The sequence below is a fragment of the Homo sapiens genome, chromosome 2 (assembly GCF_000001405.40).
Source record: "Homo sapiens chromosome 2, GRCh38.p14 Primary Assembly".
Lineage (NCBI taxonomy): Eukaryota > Metazoa > Chordata > Mammalia > Primates > Hominidae > Homo > Homo sapiens.
This window is the reverse complement of record NC_000002.12, coordinates 29,713,241-29,732,184: the sequence shown is the minus strand read 5'-3', so window position 1 is coordinate 29,732,184 and position 18,944 is coordinate 29,713,241. Positions and strand designations below refer to the sequence as shown.

The following is an 18,944-nucleotide window of genomic DNA, read 5'->3' as shown; positions in this document are numbered from 1 at the left end:
AAATCTCATGCTATGAGGCTGGGTTTGGTTATGAGTCACTTAGTGAATGATTTATTGTTTTCTCCCTATTGTAGCAATGCATTTTATGGAGGTAGTGATATGTTACAGCAATATTCTTGAAGATGAGGATTCCAGAAGTCTCTGGATGCATGCTGTACAAATGACCAGGGTTTACCCAGTGTGCGAGGCCCAGGGCAAAGGGAGGACTCTCCTCTCTTCCCCTCCCACTGCTGAGTATGAGAAATTAATAGGGAATTGACCTCACCTTCCTACAACACCTTTACAGGTCACTGACAGAACCTCCCAAGGAGTCAGGGGTGCTCTTGGTCCACAATTATAAGAGATAGATGTAGTATTATCCAATTAGCCCATGGTTCATTCACCTGTTCCAAATATCTTTAATGCTTAGTCCTGACTGCTTCTCTTGGGCCAAATTGCTATTGTCCTAATGAAAATATATATCTTTGGTTTACATTTGGAGATATTACAGGATTTGAGGAAATATTTTCATTTTCCATCCAGAGGTTTAATGTTGTGTAAGTGCTGCCTGAGTGTGACCTACCTGTATCTAATAAAATCATTAATTCAGCAGGCCGGAAGGTTTAGTTTCTGTTATACCTGTTGCCAGCAGCTCATCCTGTCCCGATGCTGCCCAGAATCTCCAGTGACAGCAAGACCCAGGAAGTCTTGGGAAGACAGAGTGCCACTTGCAGAAAAAGAGTCCATTATCTTGAAAGCCGCTCCTGGAGTCATTGCCAAAAGCAGTTTCTCCGAGTTTATGCTCAAACCTTGGAAGGCTTCTGCCACCATGATTGAAGGGGACATGGAAGAAGCCAAGCCATCTTGGCCAGCAAATGTCACCAGTCATGATGAGCCCCTAATCCTGATGGGACTTCTGATAAGACGCTTGTATGATGACAGATGAGGCTACACACAGCAGTTTAACTCAGTCATTTGTAATCATTACTTTTTGGCCATTCAATAACCATCCTGTGAAATTATTTTCTGAATTTCCCAGAGTAGAGATAGGAGCCAAGTTTTACCCCTTTTCTTTAGGGAAGCCTCTTGACAGTTACAAATGCTTTAAGGAAACTTTCTGAGGCGCTCTCAGATCAACCTTCAAAGCCCTTACTCACCCATGCCACCTGCTTTGTTTGAGTGATGACACAGTGTTGGCGACAAGCACTGGGAACTTTCTGAGGCCAACGTCTCTATTGTCATGTAGACATGTCCCTGGGGCAAGATGCAGGGTGACAGTGCATCTTGCTCTTCTCATTGTGTGATTGTGGCCACATCTCCTGACCCAGAGCTTCCTTCTCCAGTAGTGAGCTGTGGTCCCATGTGTGCTGGCCAACAGGTGTGCAGAGACACTGACCTATGGAGCCTGTCAGCACACTGGGAGGCTAGGCCAGACCAGGAGTGGCAGAAGCCCTTGGGCCAGTTGCCTTTCACTGCAAGCAACCTTAACTCTTTACTCCAGTGGATCATATAAATATTATTTTCTCTGTGTGTCATGATATGAAAAAAGGTGAGGAAGCACTGGCTTAGCCTCTCTGATTCTTTGTTTTCCTCTTGTGTAAGTTGGGATTTGTTTTTCTTATCTTATTAAACCTTTATGAGGATCAAAGGCTTAAATGAAAGGGCTTTGGGAGTCCATGTATTTGTGGGGTGTGTCATTGGCCACAGAGATAGAACTCTATCCCTCTATCTCTAGTTTACTTTCATTGGCTGTTCCTTTGAAAATGAGGTGGAATTCCACTTTTTTTTAGCCTTTCCAAGTCATAAAATCAATGTACTGTACCTCCTATTTAGGTTCAAGCACTTACATAACACTATAATTCTGTATAGTCTTTGCTTCTTATGACTTCTACAAGGTGCCTACCAGAGCAGAATCTGCTTATCCCTCTGTCTACTTGTGCTGAGGGTACACACTAGTGTATCTGCCTCCTCCTGGTCTATCCTGCACTCACATCCCAGCATCTCCCAAATCCCCGTAGGCCTGCCCTTCCTAAGGACAGCCTTTGCTTTCTCGGAGCTTGTGCCGCATTTAATGGCAGGTCCTTGCCAAGGGGCGAGGGGATCCCGAGTTGCCATAATTTCAGCATCTGTGTGCCAGGGTGCAAGCTGCTTGGGTGGTTTAATAGGACGACTTACCTTCTTTGCCCTGCAGACAAATCTCATGGGTGCAGAGGAACTCTCTCCTTCCCTTCTCCTCGATATACTTTTCAGCCAAGTGCTGTCTTGTTAAGTGAGTGAAAACCAAGTCACAAACCAATATGCAATAAAATGTTAACACTGGCTTCTCTGGATGCTGGAGGTATGGGTGATATTTATTTTCTCCTTTAGATCTTCTTGATTTTTTTTCAGATTTTCTATAGTAAAACCGAAAGTGTATTTTAAATTATATTCTGAAAGATGCACTCAAGATGTGCTGCATGAAGGCAAATAACAGCTTCCACATTCCTTCACACTTGCCAGCTCCAAATTACTGCCTCTGCCTTTAGAGCCAGGCGATTTGGAGGGGGTGGGAGCTGGGAGGGACTGGGGAGGAGGCTGCAATGTGGGCCATTGAATTTCCTCTTTTTAGACATCGCTCTGGCAGCTAATTCCAGGGTGCTCGTCTGTATGGTGGCAGCGTGACTTTCATGTTTTCCCCAAGGTGTTTTATGGCCTTTTTACCGTGGTACTTGAATAACTTTCTCCCAGTAACTTCCAGATAGTGAAAAAATGTCAGATGATTTCTCTTTCCCCCACCACGTTTCTTCCCTTCTTTGTTGCAGCTCTATTGCTTAATAGGCGTCTCCTTGCCATCTCTCCCTTCTCCTTCCTCTCTCTTCTTTTCTCTCTCTCCCTGCTCTCCCCTCCCTCTTTGCCTCTCTTCACCTCATTTTTAAAGCAAAATAAAGAGAGAGGCTCTGACCTTGCTGGCCCTGGCCATGGGAGAGGGCAAGGAGAGCAAGCCAGGGCTTATCCGTGACCCAGATGGCTGCAAGAAGAGTTCCTGGGGCAGATTCAACCCTTCACTTTTCCAGAAGGTAATTCAGGTTTCAGAGCGAGGGGAGGCTGAGGTTTAGTGGCTGGGTTCCAGGCCTCTTCCCTGCAGGAAAGTTGGCCAACAGACTGAGCATCCGAGAAAAGGCAGGAGGGTCCCTGGCAAGTCAGGTCAGTCCTGTTACGGGGCAGAGCCATTTTAGGTAGCAGTTTTAGATGGCCTTCTAGGTTGATCTGGAGGCATCTGTCATCCTTAATCAGGAGAAGGCAGCAGGCATTTATGAACTGGTCACTCCTTCTGCTGTGTTTCATTCCCTGTCCTTGTTCTCGATTGCAATCAATGTCATCTCCAAGGGGTTCTTTGCTGGACAGTAGCAGTGTGATTGGGCCATCCATCAAGGTTCCTCTATAATGCCTCACTTTTCTTGGTGGCAAATAAGGAGCTGGCGCTCCGTTCTGAGAGACTTGAGTTGGAATAGACCCTGCCTTCTCCAGCCTCCCACCCTACCCCACTCCCTTTAACTAGTTAACTCTACTCATCTGGTTAAGGGCCTCAGTGCAAGCATCAGCTTCTCAGGTAATCTTCCCCTGCCTCTCGTAATGAAGTCAGATCCCTCATCATACGTTCTCATAGGGTTGTGTCTGTCTCCTTCACAATGGATAACAACATCAAGATGTCAAAAGGACTTGAGAGGTTGTTGGATGGCTGTCTGCTGCCTTCCACACTCTAAGCTCCTCAGCCTGGAAGCTCTAAGAGGGTAGTGTGGGGTTCTGCTCACGAATGCAGCCCAACTGCCAAGGGCAGAGCTCGGCACATAGGAGATACTCAGGAAGTATGAATGGAATTAATGAATTAATCTTAGCTCCACCCCTTTTGGCTCCAGAACCTTGGACAAGTTACTCAACCTCTCTGAGCCTCAGTTCCTGCGTTTGAAAATGGTAATAATAATCCCCACTCAGAAAATTGTGGGATTTGTGGGGCAATGACTATAAAGCCCCCAGTATGGTGCTGGGCACCGTGTGTAATAGGCACACATGAAGTATTGGTTTCTTTCTCAGTGATTTTTTTTTTAAAAACATCCCAGAGTATTGCAGCTTAAAGGTTTAAAGAACAAAAACATGTCTCCCTATTTCTTCTCCCTCCTCCTTTCTTTGCTACCTTCTCCTGTGGTGGGTGAGGCATAGAATGGGGGCACAGAAGATCATATTTTGTGATTTTTTTCACTAACGAGATGACTTCGAGTGAAGCATCTTTCCTTCCTGTGTTTCAGCTTGCTCACATGTGTGATAGGAAGACACAGATAAATAGTCTTCATGGCCCCTCCCAGCTCCCCCACTCTGAGTCTCTGCATGAGGCCAAGGGTAACATTGATCACCATTGTTAACAATGCAAGATGAATGGAAGCAACAAAGGTGACATAGCACCAGAGTAGGATGAAGCCAATCAGGCTGTTGGCCTATCTATTTTAATACAAGCTGAGTTTATTTTAGTAATACAGGTGAAGAGTGATTTAAAATATAGCATCATGCCAATACCCCTTAGTAAAAGCACAAGGATTTCTAGTGTACCTTTCTTCAAAAGAGCCTGAGGGCTTTGTAGATACTGTCTCATTAATTCTTTGAGCATCCCAAAAGTTGGCTGGGAAAGCATGATGAGTTCTGTTTTACATGCAGAGAAACAAAGCTTGAAAAAGGTTAAGCAGCTTACCCAAGGTCACGCAGTAACACTGCTGTATCTGAGAACACAGTTCTCTAGCACATCAGCCTATCTCTGGAAATGAGTTCAGTCATGGTGAGGGGCCTTTGTGCTGAGTAATGTGGCATCTGGAGCTGGGGCTTCTTAGAGGATAGACTCTTTATCCTGAAATGACAGGGGTGACAAGTAGATAAAGAGGGATTGAAAGGTCTGGAAGTTAGGAGAAAGTGTTTTGTCCCTCTTCTTCCCCTCACCCTAAGCATCTTCCCTTGGACAAGCCAAGGACCAATTTCAAGGATCCAGGCATCAGGCTTTGTGGTGGTTGCCATGGAAACAGTCGTGGCTGAGCCTGAGACCCCACAGAGCCAGCTGCCCTGATGGAAGGTGTGTGTTTCTAGGTCGACTTCCTGGTTGACCCAAAGGGATCTATTGTCCTCAGTTAGGAGAATGCAGCAAGCATCTCTGACCTGGTCAGTTTCTTTCTTCTGTATTTAATTCCCAACCCCTGTTCCCCAGGAGAATCATCACCTGCAAGGGATTTGTACTGTAGAGTGGCATTCCTAGCTGGTCCACACATCAGAGGTCTGCAGTCATACATCCTATCCTAGTACTCACTGGCAATGTGACCTTGGGCATTTGTGCTTTCCGAGCCTCAATCTTTTCATCTGTAAAAGAGGTTAACTACCAAAGTTGTTGTAAGGATCACAAAAGCAGATGCCTCTGAAAGGCATCAGGGAGCCCTAAGTCATGGTGAATGTGCACACAGTTGCAATCCACTCTTCCACGCTGGAGCTCCCTTCTTCCTGTGAAAGTGGGTCACACTCTCCCCAGGGCACTCACTGCATGATTTCAGGAGTCATCCTGGTAACCGTTACTTCCCAACTTGAAACATCAGGTCAAGAGAAGAGCCAGTTGTTCTTGGATAGTTTGTAGCCTCTTGTCTAACATGTCTGGAGACTCCTGGGCCTGCTGGTGGGTGATTATCCTTACCAGGACTCTCTCACTCCAAAAGAAAAAGGTCTTTTGTTGATGGACTTGGTTTTCCAGGCTGCCCTGTCTTTGTGTCTTTGTGTCTTTGTATCGCTTTCAGTATATTAATTATTTAGTGCTTGGTAAAGCTCTCTGAGATCACAAGATGAAAGGCCTGATGGCAGTTCAAAGCCTTCCTTTTGATTATTATTCTAGTCAACATATTTTGGGGGGAGAAAATAGGCTTAAGATCACAGTGGAGTAAATTTCATAAAGAGCAGAGTACAAGCAAACCACAGAAATGGACCCAAACAGAGAGTCATGTTGCCCTGCTAATGGAAGCACTCAGGTCTTACGGGGGTAGGGAGTGCGGGTGTGTTAAGAATCAGGCCACCTGGAGAGTGATATTTGCTGTCTTGGATTAGTAAAATAAAAATGCCCATTAGTCTTCCACAGCTACCAAAAGCCAGTGTGAGTCCACCTTGGCCAGTTAGGTAGGGCCAGTGACCAAGCACACCTGCAGCAGGGGTTCAGGGCCAAAGGAGACATTGTGACGCTCATGGATGAGTCAGGAGGTGCTTGCTTGGGATGCTGAAATCATGTCTGGAAAGGTGAAAATGCAGTGAGTGACCTGGAACTATCAAATTCTGAGAGATACAGGTTCTGAAGAGGAGGCATCAGCTGTCACATGGCCTTCGTTATAGGACTTTGGCCATGAATTATGAGTCACTAGTACCTGCATAGATGTGGTAGCTCAACTGATGAAATAGGTCCATGTCTTGATCTGCCCCTGCCCCTGCAAAGCATGTCCTACATGACACCAAACCAAAAACAGCCACTGTGAAATGCTTTTCCTAATTTTTTCTAAATCAATGAGCAAAAAAAAAAAGAAAAGAAATCAACATAAACAACAGACCTGAAACTTAAGTTGTGTGAGTGAAATTAATATGCAATTACAATCCATCGTCATTAACATGTTTGTTGAATGGCCTCAACACCACTATCCTAAGTGGTTAAGGAGGTCAGGGCCCAAGTTCAGGTTTTGTTCTGGCACAACCCGAATCCCAGCTCAACTGCTTTGGTGTCCAGCTCAGGGAAGACAGGGACCTTGAGGAGGAGGGATTTGAGCTGGGCCTTTAAGAAGGGGTAGGATTTAGGAAAGCAGGGGGTGGAGAAGGATGTTCTAGGCAGAGATTAGCTTGGGCATAAGTTTGGAGACTAAGGAGTAATGGGATAGAATGTGAAAGGAAGGATTCTGAATGGGAAATAAGGCTGAAAAGGCAAACAGTGGCCAGAGTGTTTGGGCTCCAGATTTACACGCTTTAGCCATTCTGGAGCAACCTCTTTGTGATTCCTTTTTTTTTTTTTTTTTTTGGTATAGGATAGCCTGAAGGTAACCAAATCCCTAAGGGTAGGCACCATGCTAACAATTTCCTTTATTAATATTCCTCACTGTTGTGCCTTGGGAAGGGGTACATGCTTTCATTGGCTGGCAGAGGTCCTTCACCATTGAGTGAACACAAAAGTTATACATGGGTCCTCTTGGGGAGGCAGGAAATGCATGCTGAAGCTATAACTTTTGACAGTACAAAAGAATATTATGGGAGAGTAATTTTTGCTTCAATATTTGAGCTACTAAGAAAGAGCACAAACTTCTCTGGCAGGATGGGATGGGGCTTAGAGAAAGGTGAGGTGGAGTGGGAGCTGTTTAATTCCATCCAAATTCCGCCCTTGACACTAATAGCTCCCTTCTGAATGAGCCAGCTGGAAGAAAATGTGAAAGCAAACCATAGAGAAACAAATATGTATGAACCAGAGAGGACCTTAGCGAGCAGTGAGTTCAAACCGCTCATTTTCCAGGCCTAGAGAAGGTATGGGGAGGGCTATATGTTTAGGACAAATGGTGCATCTGCAAACTCTCTCCTTTCTCTGAAATCACATCTCTGTTTTTCAGACTAAATTAACAACATCGCCCATCACCGCTAACTCTAGGAGTCATGTAAATTTACTGAGGTTTCTTTTGCTGAACAGGTGCAGGCTCAGCCTAGTGAATACCCAAACCATTTCCCCTGGGCTGCCAGTCCCAAAAACAGGCCTGCCCTGTACTCTCTGAGAGCTGTGCCTGATTTGACATCCAGACCACTATTTATTTGGCCACATTAAGCTTTGCTTTGTGTGACACAAAATCATTGTAAACGAATGCATTATTAAGTGTGTTTTCAAATAACAGGGAAAAAACAAGCAGACTGTCACTGATTGTTTTATTGTTGGAAGGAAAAGAAATAAGTAAAACGTGTACAGGCAAGGTAGGAACTGTTCCAAAGAGCATTTAGAATAGGAGCATTTGTTACATTTTATTGATGTAGGTTTGTAAAACATGCTTGCCAGTGAGCCTGGGGCATTCATGTAAATAACCATCACACATGCATAGCTCTTCATTACTTATACTGACACAAGTATGATATATTTATTATATTATGTTCATTGGCTTAGGAATAAATAGACATGCAGTGAGACATGTAAAAATAAAGATTGGAAATACACAGTGCCAATCGGCTGCAATTTGGGTAGTTGTGATCATGTACATTTGGCAAAGTTAATGATTAACTAGTGAATAATAGCGAAGCAGCTCTCTGGGAGCACTTTTGATTTCTGGACGTTGTAATTATTGACACAAGATGATCTAAATATAGAAAAGAGACCAAGACTCCCACTCATTTTGGATTCTAAAACAGAGATAGGAGCATACAATTTTAAGAATGATATGACTGATACTGAAAGACTGTGTCATGCACACATTATCTCATGTGGCCCTTACAAAACCCTGAGAATTTTTAGAATATGCCCTATTCTTATTCTCGTCATCGTTTTCAGAAAATTGAGGTTTGGCAGAGTGTGTGCTTAGCCTGAAGTTAACAGCTAATAAGTGCCAGAGATAACACCTTCCTCCAGGGCGCTGATTTCATTTATTTGACAAATATTTATTGAGTGCCTGCTGTGTGCCAGGCATGGAGACATAGCAGTGACTAGTGCAGGAGGTACACAATGAATAAACCAATATACAGAACACATATATGTGTAAGAAATAGGGCAAAGGGATGGGAGTGGCTTACAATGAGTTGTCTCTCAGCAGGATGACCAGGGAAATTCTTTCTGGGAAGTTGACCTATGGACAGGGACCTGGACAGAGAGAGGGAGTGGCCATGTACCTCTGAGTAGGAGGAGCTTCCTCGGCTGAGAGAACTGCCAGTGCAAAGGCCCTGGGGTGGGAATGTGCTTGGTGAGTTCGGGGAAGAGCAAGGAGACCTGTGGGACTGAGCTCCAGCAATGAGGGAAAATGGTTGCAAATGAGGTTAGAGACAGAATCAGGAGCCAGATCCTGTGGGGCCTTTAGGGGCTAGGCTATGGCAAGAAATTTGAAAGCTATTTCAGGGGCTGCAGTGTCAATCTAACTGCCACATAGAGAACAGACTGAAGGGGGGCCCTCTTTGAGCTCATAGCAATAATGGAGAGATGCGAGATGGGAAAAGATGAGAAGGGGTAAAATTCAGGTAGAGCCATCAAGATTTGCTGATGAATTGATGTGGGGTGTGAATAAAAGGAAGAAGTTAAGGATTCCTCATTGGTTTTTGGCCCAAGCAACCAGGCGAGTATTGGTAACACTTTCTGAAATGGGGAATACCTGGGGTTTAGGGGAAGGGAGGTTAGGTTTTTGGCTTGCTCATGGTAAGTTTCAGATGCTTATTGGGCAATAAAGTGGAGATTTTGAGCAGGCAGTTGGATGTATATTCTGTGTATTCTGTTGTTCAGGGGAGAGATTGGGCTGAAGACACAAATTTGGTAACAGTAGTATGTGGATGATATTTAGAGCCATGAAACTGGGTAAGATCACTTTGAGAGAGAGTTTAGATGCAGAAAATTCCCAAGTTCTTCAACTTTTAACAACTGTCAAATAATAAAATAAAGATCCCACAGAGTTGTTTTTTATGACAAGCTTACTTACATGTCGGGCAAGGAGAAATTCACTGTATGGTTTTCCAAGTAAGAAAAGTCAGAGTTTTTAAAGTCTTACGAAGAGGGCTACAATGTGGTTCTGGTTATTTGGAGTTGAAAATCGGTTCTTTGAACTAAAGAGAATGAATGAATGCATAGGTTTGTGTGAGCATGGGTAAACAAGTTATCTTCATTGGTCAGCAAAGAGTCTTCAGTTAGGTACAGGAAGGGTCTGGTGTCCCGCACTCACTTGAAATTTATTGATCATCAGCTGGTTAGAACCAGTGGGATAAAATATAATACTCAGCCATGACAGTTCCTAAGCAAGTGCTGCCGGAAAAGGAGACGTTTCCTCCTCTACAGTTTGGAAAATAAGGAAGACCTGGCAAAGAAGAATAAAGAGGATCTTCCCACTGAAGCAGGAGGCAACCAAAGACTATGTGGTGACCAGGATGTGAAAAATCCAAGAAGCAGGGAGTGATTGCAGGGGCAAATGCTGCTGAGTGGTCCAGTGAAACAAAGACCTAGAGTTGTTCAATGTATCTGCAGCCTAGGGTCGTCGGCGACCTTGAGGTGGAGTAGTGAAGACAATCTAGATTTTGTTGGATTTAAGAGAACACGGGAAGAAGAAGGTGGAGACAGGAGCAAAGACAAATCTTTTAATAGATTTAGCTGTAAAGAAGAGCAGAGTAAAGGGACAATGGCTGGAGAAGAGTGTGGCAGTCAAAGAAGCTTTTTCTTTCTTTATAAGATGGTGCATGTTTGTGTGACTGACTTGGTAGAGAGGGAAAATTGTTGATGCAGGACCATTGTAACAGCAGATCCCTTGAGAAGAGACGAGACTAGCACCTAAGTGAAGAGGCTGGCACTGTTTAAGAGAGTAAACTGTTATCCTTTACAACAGAAGAGAAGGCACTGATACATGTAAGTGGGTAGATCACTTCTCTTTTCTCAATAAGCTAAGAAACAAATTCATTCACTGAGAATGTGGAAGCATATGGGGAATTGGAGTTTTGAGAACTTGAGAGGAAGTTTGAACTAGTTGTATTGGAAAGAGAGAGAGTGAACTGAGTTAGTCAGGGAAGGCAATGGGATTCCCGGGCCATCCTGAGGGTCTTGAGGTTTCTGGTGATGAATTTAAAATGAGGCCTGTCAGCACTGTTGTGTGTTCCTCCACCCCTCTTCTCCCACTACCACATCTACCTGCTCCAGGATAATTGTAAAGAAAGAGGCAAAGGAGTTGAGATTGTGTGAAATGAAATTATGATAGAGATGAGCCCTGGAGCTGAAGCTGAGGACATTAGGGGGATGATACACAGTGAAAAATTCAGAGTGTCAAGAGCTTGAGGTTTTCACTCTGCCTTGATACCCTGCAGTGCCTAGAAAGGGCTTAAGAAATCATCAGAAAAACAGCAACAATTGTATTGCTAGCAAATCAATAATGCCTTCAGTCCAGGTATATTTCTTCCTCCTTTCTCTTCAGGCCTTCACTTGTCTGCCTCACTTGGGCACCTAGAAGCTCCTGCTCCTATTTCCCCACTCCTTTCTCATCTACGTTTCATCTCCCAAGGTCCAAGAGTCACTCTACTTGAGCCAGTTGGTCTGCATTCATACCTTCACCCATATATCTGCATTGATGAGGCCCATTTCACTCTGGATCCTCATATTTTCAGAGTGGAACCCTGAAAAGACAAGGCTTTCTCTAGCTTAAATGGATTGCTTCTGATGGCATGGCTTCTCTTTCTGCTAGAAAATCCTTCCCTGCAGTGGTTGGGTAGGGCAAGGGTAAAGAGCTTGATGGGAACAGACAGTGTCTTGACCCTGTACTTGTTAAATGCAGAAGTATTTTGTTCTTTATATTCTACATTGATGTGTATTCTGTGAACTTTGACTAGCACTCATTTCTGTTCCAATGCTTCCGATTTTGGAAAACAACTGCATTCATGTGGGCTTTGCTTTCCTTGATCCTTGACTTTTCAGGTGGGGAGGCTCAGCCTTTTGGCTGACCCCCACATTAGCTCCCTAGCCTCATCCGGCTTATCACTTGCACTCCCTACTCTCAGGGGTAAGATTGGAGACCCTGTGAGCCCACTGGCTGGAAGAAATTCTAGGAGTTCCTGTAAGGGCAAGTTAAGACTTTCTGCTTTTTTTCAACCCTGCAATATTCAACCCTGTGGATGCCTGGCAAGTTATTGGTGTTTTGTGATATAAAAGGCTTTAAGCTCATGCTTCTGAAGAGATGGCCCACAGTGATGTCCATATTACCTTGCTGGGTCATGACCCAGCCCTCAGAGCCCTTCCTTTTGAAAGCTTTCTTTTTTTTTAAACCCCTGAATATATTATCTGGCCCCCATTCATATTAAAGTTATCTGCCATTCTGTACCCATTCACAGATTCATAAGTGCTCCCTGAAGTCTAGCCCCATCTGCTTGGTTCCTCACATCCAGGAAGAAGTTAATATCATTCCCAAACTGAATGGTTCAGAAAAATGACATCACTTAGAAACAGGAAAGTATAACCTAGGCTTAGTCTTCCTGTCACTTCAAAGCTACTTAAAATTTGAGATTAGCCAATGACTCAGACCTAGAGTCTAAGTGAATTTTTATTCACATGGAGATTGATTGTCCGAGTCTTCCCAGACCCTTCCCACTTGCCCTATTCTGAAGCATGCTCAGTGGTGGCCTCTGACCTCAGCCATTGTGTCGTGGGGGCCCTGCCAGGCCCTGTGGAGAGCTGAGGACCACCCTGCACCAGTCTGTGGCCTGTGCAGAGTGGTGAAAGGAGCTTGGACTTCAGTGTCAGTTGATCTAGTCTTTTGACCCTGATTTCCTGTCTCCTGCTGGCTGTGTGGCTGTAGTCAAGGTAACTAACGTCTTTATGCCTCAATTTCCTCAGCTGCAAAATGAGGACAAATAAACTTATTCACAAGGTTACTGTAAGAAGTAAACAAAATCACACATTTAAAGCACTTAGCATCATACCGGTCCATATGTGCTCGATACATACTAATTTTTTAAAAGGCTAATAAACTTAACCCCACCCAAAGTAACCCTACGTGGCTTTGCATTCACTTCTCTGAGCCCCATTGCCTATCTACGAAACAGAGTTGATGTGCAGGTGAAATGAGATGGCTTCTCTCTGCAACTCACAAACACAGACTCTCACCCCTTTCAGTGCATTTCCTCTGAGCTGTTTTGCAGAAATGCTGCAGAAAGATGTACCTGGCACAAATCAATTCAGTTCTAATCTCTGTAGACCAAATATAAGAGAAAAGTCAAAATTCTTTCCTAGATACCCAAGAGCCAGCACTTCCAACTCAGAGCTATGGAAAGCAGAGATTAAAATGTTTTTTTAGGAAGGAGACCGTGGAATGCCCATCCTGTCCCAGTTGCAGGGCACAAGGGCCTTTAATAAGCATTGCCTAAGGGCAGCACCTGCAGGTAAAATAGTGGAGGGGTCTGGAAACAAGAGACTGCCATGGGTACCCAGGCCAGAGATTTCCTTCAAGTGTGTGAAGTGGGGTTTATCCTAAAAGGGGGTTAGAGGTAGGAGACCAGAACCTGCAAGAGCTGGTACAGGGGGTAATGTGGAAGAAACTGCAGAGCAGGCAGACTGGGAAAATGCCTCTGCTACTCCTGCTGCCTGCCTTTTCTTCTTTCTCTTCTTCTCCTCTTCTCCCCCTTTTCCTCTTCACAAAGTCCCTCCAAGTGGGTTAACAGTTACCACCAGAATAGCAGGTCAGCCCATTCACCATAGAACATGGCCTGCTGATATGAGGCAAACCTGGGCTCAGTTTCTGCTTCCATCACTTGCCTCTCTAGGTCTCAGTTGATGCATCTGTAAAACAGAGATGATCATTTCTATCTCAAAGAGCCACGGTGAATATCATGTGACATTATGTAGGTAAAGAGTCCAGCATGGCGTCTGTTCCGGGGAAGCTACAGAAGAAATGCTAATTTCCTTCCTTCCCTCCTCCCTGCACTCAGTCTTGTGACACATCTATCTATGAAAGAGAACTAATTCTCAAATCCTTCCTTCTTTAACAAAAAAGGCTTTGTCTGCCGTAAAACATTAGCAAATAGTGATTGAGCTTGGGATTTTCTGGGAAGCACTGTGTTAGATCAGGCAGTGCATGATCATTTGATTTGTAGATATATTGTAATGACTTTTCACCACACAAAATCCACATGAGGTGCTGCTAAGGACAGGAATAATGCTTCTCTGCTGCTTTTCTTTCAAGCCTTCTTTCTCTCATGCAAATCAGAAACATTAATCCTTTTGGCTTTCTGGCCTCTTGGCTTTGGGAAAACTCCGGTCACCTAGCTTCCCCCACAACCCTGACAATAACATAATTGTTAAGAACTCATAACTTCAGAGTGCAGTTTCAGCCCTCTCATTGATAAGGCAATAACCCAAGCAAACAACATTAGAGGAAGTTACAAGTCTGAACATAAAGTAGGGATGGAGGCATTATCTGGACGAGATGAATTGGAGTTCTCTATAAAGCTGCACAAATTATTATAGGCAGAATAGACTTTGGATAGAACTCTTAGACCAAGCCATTAAGTGCCCTGGCTTCTAGTTCATCTCCCAGAGATCCTCAGCATGGCCTTGGTCAGAACATTCAGACCTCTTAGATCTGTCTGCCCTTGATAGAAAATGTACATCAGGGTCCTGAGGTCAACTCAGTCTACTGGTGGCTCAATTTTTTCCCCCTCATCTTCCCGATGGATGTCATGAAAGCCCCTTATAAACTTCATTTTTGACTGATATTGAGTGACAGCTAAAAGACACACCCCAAGCACATGGATCAGTGTTTTCTTTATTTTTATGTCCAGGTCATAGCTCCTTGGAATCACCAACAAACATGCCTTCTCCTTCTCCTGATTATTTTACATGGAATCTCACCTGGATAATGAAAGACTCCTTCCCTTTCCTGTCTCATCGCAGCCGATATGGTAAGTATATGTTTAATATTTACTTGAGATACACTGTCACTATCTCATAATAAGGACTCTGTGAGTTTCAGTTTGGGATTCATAGTGCTCCAGGGCATTCCCTCAGCTCCCTATATGCAAAAGAAGTCTTTCTGAGCCCTCTGTCTCCCAGTGACGCTCAACCCCGTGGACCATTCCAGCCAGGCCATTCCAGCTGCATTCTGTATCCTGGTGGGAGCCAAGGGCTTTGTGTCTGCCATATCCCTCCTGCTTAGCCTTTATGGTATATAGTGTTCCAGCCATCCCCTTATCAATCATTAGAGGAGATGCTTATTTGCTTCTTGACTGTAGCTTGCTTTCTGGTTCTAACCCACAGTGTTTCTAGCAATCACAATCTCTCTCTCTCTCTTTTTTTTTTTTTTTTTTTGAGACAGAGTCTTGCTCTGTCGCCCAGGCTGGAGTGCAGTGGCACGATCTCGGCCCACTGCAAGCTCCGCCTCCTGGGTTCACACCATTCTCCTGCCTCAGCCTCCCGAGTAGCTGGGACTACAGGCTCCCACTACCATGCCTGGCTAATTTTTTTTTTTTTTTTTTTTTTTTTTGGATTTTTGGTAGACACGGGGTTTGACTGTGTTACTGTGTTAGCCAGGATGGTCTTGATCTCCTGACCTCGTGATCCGCCTGCCTCAGCCTTCTAAAGTGCTGGGATTACAGGAGTGAGCCACCGTGCCCAGCCAACAATCAGTCTCTTAAGAGGGGATTATTATTATGAGCGTCACAGGTCTTCCAGGGCCCCTTACAGTTAAGAAGCTCCTTAAAGTTTCCCAAACATGTTCTTTGATATTATTTTGGTTCATTTGATTCTGCAACAGCATCCGACATGAAGAGACCAGGTCCAATTACATTTTTACAGATGTGGAAACTAGGTTTAATAAGATCACACAGAGTGGCTTCTCCAGCTACCAAGCCAGACTTCTTCCCCTACTTTCATTTTTTCTCCCAGGTACCACCTACCCACCCGGGTAGGTCCTGTCCTAGCAGCCCTCAGGAGGCTGCCTTTACATGGTATAAGATTCCTCCTTCTCTGTGCTCATTCTAACAGCTCATAGTAGCTGGGTCTCTGCAATGAGAAGATTTAGAGGAGAGAAGAAGCATTTCAAATGAACATTTTAATTCTCTTGAACTCCTCTAGGGTGAACACCATAAGGACAGACACTAAGCTTTGCTTTCCACTTTATTCTATCGCATGGAAGATATGCATAAAGCCTTATTAGTCTTTCAATGGCTACTTTCAATGGCAATAACCACAGTTACTTTTGCACCAGCCTCATATTTATGATGAATGAATGCAAAAGTCCTCCAGAATGAAACTCATTCATCAGGCCTGATTCAATTAAGTATTTATAAACCTGGTGTGGCACGGAGTTCTAGATTCCCTTCTGGGCATATTTACCTATTCCTCTATGCAGTCTATACCCTTGGGCCTAAGCTATTTAAAATGCACCTAACAGAGATGTTCCACTCACTATAGAAAAGCTTCCAGTCCAAAGCCTGCTGTCTCTCATCTATAACGCTCTTGGTTCATATTAACTGTACCTTTCTGTACCATATTTTAAACTTAAAAAAAAATCCATCAAAAACCCTGGGGCAGTTTATAATTATCTTCTGTGCTGGAATGTTTCCTGTGATTCTTAAGCAGCCCTTGCAGGAGAGAAAGATCAGTGGTCGTCAGGAGATTCCAGATAAGAATTACTTCCTGATTTTATTTAAACCAGACACTGAGTGTCATCTTATGATAAGGGCAAGTATCTATAAATAATTGAAATCTGGATCTTTTCATTGTTAATGCTTTGTAACCAGATTTGCGATACAACTGGTCTTCAGGTAACATTTTTGATTTTGCTCCCAAAGTCATTCAGTATCTCTACAGAAGGACAATTTTTATAAAATGCAGAATGCCCCAAGGGGTAAATCTACCCACTCCATGCTGCAGAGGGCAACATATTTGTTCCCTGTGGAGCATCTTATAAGAGGTTGCAGGTCAAAAGGAGAAAATCATGAAAGCTTATTAAGCTGCCTCCTACCCATGGCTTGGCCCTGATAAACCATGTGGTGCTCCCTGAGCTTCATCCTCCTTATCTGTAAAATGAGGGTGAAATGGCATGCCACCTTAGGGCAAAGGAATCGATCTGGAGGTTTTTCAAGATCTCTTTCAAACTCTCCTCCTGGTCTGGAATCCTCATGATTTCCCTTCTTGGCAGAGTAGAGGACCCAAACCATTGGCAGTTACTGCCCAAGTTCTGGGTAAGAGTACCCAAGTCATCACCATCGTTGCTATTGATTTATGGGGAAGGAGGAGCTGATTCTTCATTGGTGGTTCCTTAACTGACTATGGTGGGCATTCCAGAGGCTTTACATCTTTCTGCCATATTTAATTCAGCTGAGACTTATGAAGACATTACCACCACCATCACCATCTCTGGGTGCTTGGCCCTGTGCCTGATGTGGGAAGTGATGCAAACATAAAGACAGGTAAGGGTTGGCCCTTCCCTTTCACTGCTCATAGGACAGACAAATCATTCCATAGGCAGCTAAGCCCACTGCCATAGTGTCCCCGGTGGGCTGACCTCAGAGTACAGATGTTGAGGACTTGCCCCAAGACCCACTGCAGAACAAGCTAAAGACAGAGCTAAGGCCAAGAGTCTGGTCCCCTTAAGGATGTTGGTGGGAGCTCAGCCCACATGTCTATGAATCAAAGAGGCCAGCTGAGTTGGGTGATAAATCCATACCTTTCAACTGCCGTGAAAGACATTTTAAGAAATGTTAACAACTTCATTAATTTTAAGGCCTCAAACTTGGGCAGATAAATTTGACTGGAAAATTGCTGCCTGAAGGGATCGTTCTTCAGACAGTGAGAAGTCACCAAGTCTCTGCAAGTCCATCATGGAAGTCCACGCTTGGTTGGCTGTCTTCACCTGCATCCTGGTGGGAGGTCGTCAGGGTGGGGGAGTGAGAGTGAGCATCAACAACCTGACCGCAGGTGTCCTGATGACCACTAGGCTAGGCCTCTGTTGGGTGAGCTGTCCAGTTCTGAATTGGAATGGCTTTCTTTTTTCCAGTGTTTTATGAGAAGAGACAAGGTGGAAAGAGGCTAATAAGATTTATTCACCCCCAGTCTGTAATTATCTGCTTGAGGAAAAAGTTTGACCTACCTTTTTGAAGGCTCCCCATATTTCTTCTAATTTGCATTGGGGCCTAATATGCTGTGTAAAATATATTCTCTTCCGTGGCTTTTGACATCAGATTCCAGTCGTTTCTCGCCTTTGTGTTGAATGACGAGCGCCCACTAATTTCATCATCAGCGAGCAGAGGGCTGCACATTCCTCCCCTAAGGCTTTGAGAGGGAGGACGTCTAAAGAAAGACTTTATTTTTCTTTTTATCATCAGCTCTCATGCCCTTAGACTTATTTATAGGCTTGGCTAAAGGATTAGGCTCTAACTACCTACTCAGATAAAAATCTGTTCCATCAGGTAGCACCAGATGCTAAAAGATTGAGGCCACCGGGGGTTTTGAAAGGCAGTTTTGATCACCTTGAGTTTTAGAGCCACAGAGACAGATGGTATCCTTTCCACCTTTAAATCATATTTGCCCACTCTGGGTATGGGAAGAATCACATCAACTTTTTAAACAGGACGATGAAAGGTTCTGCCCATATGAGCAGGAGAAAGGGACTTTTCATTTATTTAAAAAAAAAAAACATGATACATTGCAAAACTCTTTTTCACCCACTTTTCTCATTTAAGTTGTATTATAAAATTGCAGTAGATGAAAATTATTTTATATTTTATTTTTATGGAAATACAAATCGAGGGTCAAAGGAGTTTATTAATGTGCTTTCATTTTACGGAGTAGGTGAGCCATTAGAAAAGAATGAACCTGGACTTTCTGACTCTCTGTGTGCTCTTTCTATCATATCACAAAGTTATTTCAAAGATGAGCTTTCCCTGCCTGGAGAGCATGCCCACTTCCTGGATGACCTGGTGTTTAGCTAAATGATCAGTCTGATGTCTAAGACCTTGGGTAGCTATGGGACCAAGACTTGATATCACCAAATGGAGACTATCCCAGGCAGGCCAAGTAATTCAACCCTTTCTAACCATGAGTGGAATCCCCTTGGCACTGTAGGTAGTCTTGTCTTCTCTACCCTCCCTCCCCATCCCAGACTATGGTCCCTGGGGATTGACTTGTGTCTCCCCACAAAATTTTGTTAAAGTTCTAATGCCCTAGTACCTGTGAATGTGACCTTATTTGGAAATAGAGTCTTTGCAATCAAATAAAAATGAGACCATACTGGATT

The 18,944-nt window shown here is 44.0% G+C and overlaps 1 protein-coding gene across 2 annotated transcripts in view; it reads left to right on the top strand.

Annotated features, from left to right (window-relative positions):
* The window catches only part of ALK (ALK receptor tyrosine kinase), a 728,813-nt gene that overhangs the window by 189,402 nt on the left and 520,467 nt on the right, over nucleotides 1-18,944 (top strand). For both annotated transcript variants that reach the window (XR_001738688.3, NM_004304.5), the window contains exon 2: nucleotides 14,488-14,607. Coding sequence is in view for 1 of the 2 variants with exons in the window: in NM_004304.5 (NP_004295.2) it covers nucleotides 14,488-14,607 (120 nt within the window). In the remaining variant the exon portion in view is untranslated. The remainder of the gene's footprint in view (nucleotides 1-14,487; nucleotides 14,608-18,944) is intronic.